A 10,908-nucleotide genomic window follows, 5' to 3' on the forward strand; every position below is an offset into this window, starting at 1 on the left:
TTGCCAGGCTGGAGTGTAGTGGTGCCATCTCAGGTCACTGCAATCTCCTCTTCCTGGGTTCAAGTGATTCCCTAGCCTCAGCCTCCCGAGTAGCTGGGACTACAGGGGCACGCCACCACATTCAGCTAATTTTATTTGTATTTTAATAGAGAACGGGGTTTCACCCTGTTGGCCAGGATGGTCTCGATTTCCTGACCTCATGATCCACCCACCTTGGCCTCCCAAAGTGCTGGGATTACAGGCGTGAGCCACCACATTGGGCCTGTATCATTCTTTTTAATGTGGTAGTGGATTCTATTTGCTAATATTTTGTTTGCTGATTCCCTTAACTTTTGCCACACCTTTAAAAAGACCCCATCCCAATTTTTTTTTTTTTTTTTCAAAATCCCAGCTGGGTTGGGAATTTTTCATTCAGAATTTTTACAAGAATGTTCACAAATGATATTTGTCTGTAATTATCTTTCTTAATAGTTTTTATCTAATAAATGTATCAGTTTTATGCTTGCCCATAAAGGATTATGAATTTTTTCTTTCTTTTCAATGTTTTAAAACAATTACTAGAATAATCTGGTCTTTGAAGATTTGGTAGAAATCACTCATGAAACCAACAGGACATGGTAACTTTTTTGGTGTAGGCTACTTCCTTATTAATTTTATATTTTTTGTAGAAATTAGTCTGTTTAAGCTTTTACCCTAACGGTGTCAAATTTGGTAATTTTCATTTACCTAAGAAATTATCCACCCTATCTAGGCTTTCAAATTTTTTGCCTTAGAAACCTGTGAAGTGGCTTTTTATTATATTTTATATTTATTCTGCTCTGACAGTTTTATCTCCCTTGCCACTTCTTAGTTGATATGTTTGTGCCTACTCCTTGTTTTCTTGATCAAGCTAACTAGTAGTTTGTCTATTTTGTTAATTTTTTAAATTATAATTTTTCTTTGCTAATTAGATCTGTCATTTTCCTTTTCTTTGGGCACTCTTTCTGAGTCCTAGGGGGTATGATCCTTGTACATGCTATCCTTATATTCTTTAGAATTCTCTTTACTAGCCAATTTTTCATTACCACAATCTCTTTTTATAGATAATTATATTAAACTTTTCCATTCAAATTACTATGTGGCTTCCATCTCCTGATGAGACCCTGGCTGTCACTTGCATTTGTTGTTGCATTTGACATCTCTTGGATTTGTTCGCTTCTTTCCACCTGCTTAGCTACCACCTTCCTCCAGCCGACATCATATCCATCATATTGGATTTGGATTGCTATAATCTTGTAACATCTTGTTGATCTCCAAGTGTCCAGTTACAGTTCTCCTTTAATATAGCCTTCATAATAACCTCAGATTACCCTATCTCAAATCCAATCAATACCATCACACCACTTTCCAATGGAAATGCCCTCAGTTGATACACTAACCTAAATAAGAAGTCTAAACTCCTAAGCATGAAATGTAAGACCCTTTATGCTCTGGTCCTTTCTTAATTCTCCAATCAAATCTCTTATTTTGTCCCCTTCCTCTCTCTTTTATTTGCACTTTAGGCACAGTAGTAGATATTCTGAAGTACCTTGAACAAATTGGGTCATTTCACTCTCCTTATTCAGTCATTGTTAAACCGCTCCCTCCCTTGGGAATTTCATAGACTTCCGTCTCTGATCCTGTCTATCTGGTGATTACCTCCTCAATCCTCAAGACTCAATTCAAGGATACCTCCTCCTTTTTTAGATCTACCTCCGTATTTTAGAATGGAAAAGTTCCTCAAAGACAGGAGCCATGTCTTGTCTTACATCTCCAAATTCTGCCTCAAGGTGGGCAGTAAATAAATGTATGTTGGATGTTAGATGAATGGATGCATTTTTACAAATGTATTTGGTCTTGGTGCAATCACATAAGGGTGAGACCCTTTCAATGATCTAAGAAATGGGTGTGATCTACAGGACACAGAGAGCATTGTAATCTGGAGACAATTTCTGTTGTTCATAAAGTGACATGTTGAGAGTATTGACTGTGAAGTCTTGAGGTCAGTTCCTGTATTTTCTACATTCTAGGTTGGATGTTCTTGTGCAAGACATTCTGAGCATGATACTTTAACTACAAAACAGATATAATGTTATAATTATCTATAGGATTTAGGATCCCAACAAAAAACAGAAGCTGTACTCAGCTTGGATATTGAAAAAAATTAATTACTGGGGAGTCTTTATACAGGTATGGGAAAGATTTAAGAAACCAACAAAAAATGTCAGGGAATTTAGTAGCTTTCAATAGAAAGAAGCCACTACTGCCTAGCCCTAAAGGAGCAAGTGAGAAAACAGTGTTTCTGGAGCCTGATGAGAATTGAGGCTGTAAAGAGAGGGTTCCTTAGAGGAGGTATAGACTTAGAGATGCAATTACTGCCAGAACAAAGAGCAGAGCAGCAAGGCAGTAAAGGAAAAATACCCTGACCCTTCTCTCCTGCCCTATAAGCTCTTGTTGGTGCTTTCCTTTGGCTGAGAACAACCGGAAGCTAGGGCCTAGGGAGCCTGGGAGATACAGTCTGGAGAGTCCACTCCTCATCCTTCTCTAAGCACAGAGTAGGATGCAGAGGGGCAGAGAGCAGATGGGAGACTGAAAGCAAAAAACAACCAGCAATCCACCTTGTTTATTTTTGTGGGGTATAAAATGCATAGAAGAGTAATATAAAATATATGTTATAAATTTTATGCCAAAAAATTCCCATATTCAACATCAAGAGAAAACACCAAATAGTCAATATTTGGCTTTTTTTTTTCTTCTTTCGAGAAGGGATACTGTGACAAATATGGAACTCTGATTATTTGTCTCCAGTCTGTGGGTGGGTAGCTCTTTTGGTTAGAGCCTGGAGTTGATGAGGACAAATTCAGAGGTTCAGGCACATGGGCACCAGAATTATATGGGCACAGACTACACAGTCCAGGCTTTGGTGTTCTGCCATTATCACAAGGAGGCCTGAGCACATCCTTTGCCACTGCCCCCACAAATAATTTTGCGGTGTGTGTACTAGGTATATGTTAGAGGTGAGATACTCAGGCATTCGAATATATCTTTCTGCAAGTTGTTTTAAAGGCTTATAAGCCATTTCTAGTAATTATTCAATAATTATCCAACCACCAATTTCTATACTTCCTAGAATAAACAATGCTTCACAGAGGGCGTGGGAGTACATTGTCAGGCTATGATTTGAGGAACACCCATCTGAGGAGTACCCCTCCCAAAAGGATGTGCCCTACTCATTTCCTCACAATTCTAATGTGAGAATTCCTACAATTCTCACATTAGTGATCCTCTTTTGGATTATTTGCCATAGTATCAGTAGTCTCATCCTAAAATATACCCAAGGTACTTAGGGTTAATAAGAAGTTTGCATGCCGTTCCATCATTTCACTTATTAGGTCAGATTACTTGTTCATTCACTCAACAGATGTTTACTGAGAACCTACTCCGTGCCAGGCACTATGCTCGTTGCATTTATACAAACCAAGAACGGTGCAATGGCATCGGCTACTTGGAGGTGGGGGAAGGGTGAAGACTGCTCATAAAATGCAGCACTAGGAGCCTGATCAGAGAGGACACAGCATTGTGTTCCTGGTTAACCTAATGAGGGAGTGAAGGGAGAAAGCTATGGGTTTGGGGCAGAGAGAAATAATGTGAGCTCACTTTAGTTGGGCAAAGAGACATGTCTAAGGATATTGAGTAAGTAATAATATTCATAATTATGCGATCACTTAATATGTGCCTAATAGACTGTTAATATATTAGAGATTTTTTTATCTCGATGTCTTCCCTTACATGGCCAATATTGTGATGCTCATTCTTTTGATGAGAAAACTGAGGTTCAGAAAGGATGTGATTCACTCATGTCCAAGCAGCTGATGATTCCAGATTCAGGAATCAGGTCCAATTCTGCCTTCAGAGTATGAATTCCTTCCTCTTGGAAACATCGTCTTTCTGTGGGATTAAGTTAGTAAAACATCTTCTTCACCTGAAATTTAGCTGTTCTTAAAAATTGCTTAGATTTTCGTGAAATTGATTTTCTCTTTCTTGAAAAGAAAAAATATCGAAGGGGATCTCTCATCTTTACCAAAGGCTTATCATGGTTTTGCCCGCATCAGTTTTGTTTTCTGAGGAAAAACTGGGAAGACACACTAACAGATTACTCAACAAATGTTTGGTGAATGAATGGCTCCATAATTAAGCAGTTAAAAGTCACGCAACCCTTTATAACATGTAAAACACAAGAAGATGTCTCAATTCTTCCCCGAGAGTCATTTCCCATTAAATCCCAATTTTGCACTTGATGAACTGCAGGCCCTCCCAATATCAACAAAGATTAGGCAGTATTTCCTTGCCAGGCTGAGACTGTTCCTTGCTTGCTGTTGAGAAGCAAACTATAACAAATTGGGGCTGGACCAAATAAAGAACCCATAAATGAGTAACTTTGCTCAATGACCTTCTAGCTTTCTTGGCTTGGCACATCCCATGGAGAAATAAAACAAGGCAGAGAAGATGACCAAAGAGTTTCAGGAAGTTCTGTCTCCTTTCTTGGAATTTCTCAATGGGGTTATTTCCCATGGATGGCCTGTCTTTTAATTATACTTTGGCAGGCTCACAACTATGAAGTTATAGGGGTGGGTGGGCCTATAGCCAAATGCTGATCCCCTCAGCTGGCTTAATGAAAATTACCAGGACTTTGCCCACAACGGGCGAGGAACAAAAGGCCTAGGTCAGCTGCTTCGGGAGATGAGGCTGCTTCCAACTCCCCTGCATGTTTCCAGGACATGGCTGATGTAACTCAGTAGCAAGAGTTTGCTTAGTGTGAAAGTGATAGAAGAGAAAAGAGAAAACAGTTTTCCCAAACAAAAACTAGCGAAGACTGAAGAAGCCTCCAAATCATGGAGAAGGACCTTGTACTTTTCTGACCTGGTTGAAACATCATTTCCACTTCAACTCTGAAATGCAGCAGATAGGTCAAGGACTATCAAAAGATCCCACCTGTGAATTTCTACCAGTGACACATCATGGTGAACATGTCTTGGTTCTTGTTGGCCTAAAGATAGCAGGGGAAGAGAAGCCACCCAAGACACTTCCCTTACCTGCCTTCTGTCTGCATCTACATGGTCTCCAGTGATGGCTGAGTGTTCTTCTTATCTCTGATTCCCTCCAGACAGGCCCACTATGGCTTTCATCTGGTAATCTGGCTGCTGAGCTCCAGTATCACCACCCCCTCCTTTTGTCCTTGCAGTCCTAGGAGTGGTAGGTAGGTGCTTCCCGTTGTTGCTAATCTCAGAGTTGTCTCACCATCTCGTTTGGTTTCTCAGCTCCTCTATTTATCGTTTGTGTAAACAATTCTCTAAATCTACTCTGGTTCAACCCTTGAAGTGGTTTCTGTTTCCCGATTAGACCTTGACTGATACATATGTATTCTTCCCTTTATTGTAATCTTGCTACTCAGGAAGGCAAGACATCAAACACAATCACAATTCATCTAATTGAAAAGTCCATACTTTTCCTGCTCTATCTTGCTACTGACTGGACTACGGATTTGCATCAAGTGGACGAGAAACGGCAATGACACTTAGAGGGCTCTCAAAGCATATCTTTTGGACACATTAGTTTCTCTGGCATGTTGTGACATCCTAGGTTTCATGTGTCCTTGTAGCCAGCTTTTATCCAGGAAGGAGGTGATACCATCCAGGGATGAGGGAAGGTGGCTCCACCCACCTCTATGACCTGGAGCAATGGAAAAGTTTGGTAAAGTGTATGATACTTTATATATAAAAGTAACTTTAGAACACACGTTAATCAGGGCAATGTTGCAACAAATGTTAGAAACTGAATCAAATTAATTTAAACAAAAAAAATGTATTGACTTACATTATTGAAAAGCCCAGAGATAGCACAAACTTTCCACATGGGTGGGTCTGAGAGTTTAAACAATGCCTTCAGAAATCTGCCACATCTCTCTCCACCACTCTAATTTGCTCTCTTTTATGTTGGTGTCAATCTCAGACAAATGGGTACCCGTGATTGCAACAGCGCCTGCAGCAGCTCCAGGTTACCCTCAGTCTCAGAAGGACATCTTCTCTCTCCCTGGACCAATCACTGTATCTTTGGTGATTGGGATCACAGGCTCTGGGAGTTCAGCTTGAGTGAAGTTCATGACTCCTCAGCCCCCTGTGGGAGGGGAAACAGAGTTCTTGACTGAAGAAAAAAGGAATTCTGAGCAAGTGACAACAGATATAAAATACCACGAGGCAGCCAGGTACCAAAGGAAAAGTATTGGCTTTGAATTAGAAGAGTTGAAATTGAATTCTAACTCTATTATCAGTTTGCTGTGAAAGTCCAGGCAAAGTATTTCACCTCTCTCAGACTTGGTTTCCTGATTTGTAAAACATGTGGATTGGGCTTGGAACAGTAATTTGTAAGCATTTGTAACCACAAAACTCTCTATTCAAGTAAACTCTTATGCAAAACAGATAAAACCTTGCCAAATTTGCTTAGAGGGGTGATGAGGGTACTGCAGCCTTATCTCCTTGATGGGGCTACTTGAAACTCCTATAGTTCCTTGGAACACAATTTGAGAAACCTTGAAGTAGCTGATCTCGAGGGCCTCTTCCAGCTTGAACTTTGGGGAATGCTATGTAGATTGTCCAACCCTCTTTAATCTAATTTTTCTCACTTTCCCTCTATTTATTTTTTGGCTAACATCATGAACTTTGGCTATGTGTGAGAGGCCACTTAGGAAAAATAATCATTTATTCAAATGCTCAGCCAATTTACTTTGGCCTATTTGTAGCTTATTTTTCCTGACGGGGAGGGAATAAATTTATAAAACACACTTTCAAGTTGGGGCTAGAAAAGGTGAGTGTACAAGTGAGGAAAAGTAGACAACGGAAGTTGCCAACGCTGAGCTGAGCTGGAAGCTGTGAATTCAGGAAACCTCCTTCTCCCCATTGCTGCGCTCCGTTGGCATCTGGGGCCAAGTGTACGCTCTGGAACGGATGGCAGAGGAGGATGTTGTGGGTTTTGGCTTCACCACTTGTGAGAACTTGCTCTTGGGAAGACACCTTCAGCTCCAATACGAGTGTTTGATTGAAATCGAGCATCAGGGAAGAGAAGGGAAAGCGCTGGGGGATTTAGTCTTCCGATAGCCAGAAGACAAGGTGAAAGGAGGGTTACTTTGACCCAGAAAGTGCCAAGAGTGAGAAATTTGTGCTGAGGTGACTTCAAATGAGGCCAGGACCTTTGCTTCTCTTTTTCATGTAATTGTTTATTCAGATATGTGAATAAAGAGAGGCTAATAGTTGGCAGACACTCTTTGGGGGTGCAGAGATAAGTAAGTCGTGTTCTCTAGCCTGTGGGACCTTGGAATGAAATAGGGGAGGCAGGCAGATCAATGCAAAATGCTGTGTGGGAAGGCTGATGTTCCGCTGGTGCACACAGCCTGGTGACGGCTGGTGTCTGTTCTGACTGGCTGGTGTCTGGGCTATACCAAGTGTTAAATATTTTAATATCATCCCTGCTCTGTGATGTGTAAGAAGTACAACCAGATAGATGTGTACACTCCACAGTACTAGTACAGAGAAGGAAAAACAACTGGTGGGGTTAAAGAGTGTTTATAGAGGTGGTAGCATTTTGTCTGTGTCCTAAAGGAAGAGTAGGACATCATTCGGAGGTGGAAGAGGAGGTGGGAAGGGGGCATTCTAGAGGACAGAGGGAGTGGGATCATATTCTGCAGTCTGAATATGTATGCAGAGGCTGGGAAGACAAACACATTGTTTGGTGTGAACTGAGCATAAGTTGTTAGGAAGGTCATCAAGAAGTGCGAGCTCACTATCTTCAAAATATATCCAGAATTCAACCACTTCTTTCCCTTCACTACTGCCAGCCTGGCCTGGCCCATTCTCTTCTCTCCCCTGAATTCCAGCCACAGCCTTGGAAGAGGCATCTGCTTCTCTCCTGCTCCATACAGACTATTCTCCATACAGAAGACCGGAAGATCCCTTTAGAAACCAGGTGGAATCTCCTAATGTCTCTGCTCAAAATAGCGCAATGACTCCCCACATCACTAAAGCTGACGTTCTTACATTTGACTTAAGTGAGCAAGCTAATTCCACATCTACAGTATTTCATGACCTCCTCTTTTACTCCTCTCCATACTACTCACTTCGATCTGGCCACACTGGCCTCCTACTTCATCCTCAAACTTGGCAGACACACTCCTCCCTCAGGACCTTCGCTCTAGCTGTTCCCTGTACCTGGAGCTTCCACTCTTCTTCCAAGTATCCTTCATCTAAGTTTCTCATCTACAGATCTTTGCTCTTGAAGGTTGTGCTGACTGCCTTATTTCATTTTGCAACCTGATGACCCATCAGCCTGTGAATCTACCGTCTTCAACCTATTCTGTTTTTTTTTCTTAGCATTTTTCACTTTCTAATGTGGTATATATTTTCTTATTAATTATGTTTATTGTTTGTCTTTTCTTGCTAGAATATAAGTTTCATGAGGGCGGCTATCCTTGTCTGTTGCTTTGAAAAAAATCCCAAGTGGTCAGATCAGTGCTGGGCACAGAGGAGGTGCTTGATAAATACTTATCAAGTGGTAGGGAGTGAGGATTTGGTAGATTATCCAAATACGTGGTAAAGCCAGCAATTGGACTCAAGTTTGCCCAGTGGTTCGTGCCATCACTCCTGAGTGGGAAAGGAAAACCAGTTGAAGTGTTGATGCTGGTGGCACCGGCGGTGGGATTTTACACCAGTCATGCTGATGCTGGACAGCATAGACAATGCTGCAGTGAAGGAGACAGCAAGCTATCCTTGCTCAATTTGTTGCTGCAGGCTCTTTTTTTCTTTTAAATAATAAAATTCATGACTGAAAAGACATCCTGTATGTGTGTGTATGTGCATGTGTATGTAGAGGCATTGGCCTCCATCCTAGAGCCTTACCTAATTTGGCAGGCATTTAACAAAGGCAGCATTATTGAATACCAGTGAATTATCTGGCAACAGAGGGAGAGACCAAGAGATGCATGGGTATGGAGCGCACCTCATAGGATGAAATGCTGGTTATTCACAGATGTCTTTCAGAAGGAGTCACCAACAAGTGCTACATTATGTTTGCCTCGTAGAAACTCTTTATTTCCTGTAAGGTTTCTGACCTTGAGAAACAAGGCTGATATTGCAGACAAGAGCCTCAAGATTAGGCAGTTCTGCCTGGACTTCTCTAGAATTGCTGCTCAGGACCTGCACCCGCTGCTACCACCTGCCATTGGGATTTGGCACAGGGATCCGCTTAGCTGTTTCTTCATGCTCCAGGCTTCCACTGGTTAGTGCTGAGGACTGTCAGCTAGTATTGAGAGAATGTCACTACCACAGAAACACTGTGTAGAAAGAAGGCTGGGTTGTGAGGAGACGGGGGACAAACACAGAAAAGTCAAGATCTGGCCTCAGCCTGGCCGGTGGTTAGATTTTTTGCTTAAATTTAGGCTTACTCTACATGTTAAGGCTCCCAAGAATACTAGGGAAAGAATGCTTTGCTAAAATGCATGGGCTCTACTGAATGCTGTATTTAGAAAGGAATCACTCCTTCTAGTTGTGCTGATGTGTTAAATGAGTAAGGCCACCAAGCACTCTTAATGACGAAAAGGGATAAAAAGTTTCCTCCTGGTTTTCTTCAAATCACAGGCATCACTATAAGGTAGGAGGCTACTGGATAAGCTACTGCTTATCCACAAGAAACTAAATTTATTTTGCAAAGAAATCAAATTATTAAACCCCAAGCTTTCAAAGTTGTTAGATTGACAGCCACCAAAGATGATGCCAAAATGTGGTTGTCTGGGAAATTTATTTTCATATAACATACAATGCTACAATGGTATCTTCCACGGAAGAAACATTTAAGTGCCCCTCCTCCAACCCTCATTACCACACACACACCTTTTTTACCCCCAGTTCACCTGTACTGGTGTTTAGAATAGCACAAGGTTCTATTAAATCCTAACCCTGTTTTGGTCTCCAGACTTGCCAAGTGTCATATTTGACCTACTTCACCACTTAAAATTCCCATCCTCCATCATAAAACATTTCTAACAAGATACCTCCCTGGTCTTACTATGGCTTTTTCCAATTTCTTCATTATAAATGCCAATCATGCCTGCCCCATAGTATACAATGATTTTGGACACCCTCTATGCTACCAGTCCTTAAGCTTCAGCTAGTGTCTGAATCTCCTAAAGGGCTGGTAAAAGTACAGATCACTGTGCCACCCCCAGAGTTTCTAATTCAAGAGGACTGGGGTAGGGCTGTAAAGTTTGCATTCCTGACAGGTTCCCAGGTAAAGCTGATACAGCTGGCTCTGGGATCTTACTTTGAGAATGTCTGTTCTTTGCTTTCTATTTTGATAGCTCCTTGAAGAAAACAAAAACCAAAACCAGTTGATTTAGAACTGAATCGGGTGGAATTAGCAAAGTCAACAGCTATGAAATTAAACAGCAGCAGAAGGATGACTTTGGTATCAAGTGAGGTCTGGGTGTGGAGGTGAATGTGCTATAGTTCATGCTCCTTGGGGTTCCTTAAAAGATCTTTCTTCATCAAGAAAGATCCCAAAGAGGGAAGTTATCAGTATCAAAATTCTTTCAGTTGCAAGTGACAAAAATAATAATAAAAATAAATATCAACCCAAACAGGCCAAGTCAGAGAGGATATTTATTGGCTCATATCAATGAAAAGTAGAAGGATGGTCTAACTTCAGGCATGGCATGAACCAGAAGCTCAAAAGAATTTCTTTCTATAACTCTGGCCTCTGTATCCTCTCTATTTGCAACATTCTGAAATAGATTCTTAGATCCTGGTGGCAAGATAAACAAGAACCACTTTCTCTCACTGGCCAAAG

Source organism: Homo sapiens, chromosome 9 (genome assembly GCF_000001405.40).
Source record: "Homo sapiens chromosome 9, GRCh38.p14 Primary Assembly".
Lineage (NCBI taxonomy): Eukaryota > Metazoa > Chordata > Mammalia > Primates > Hominidae > Homo > Homo sapiens.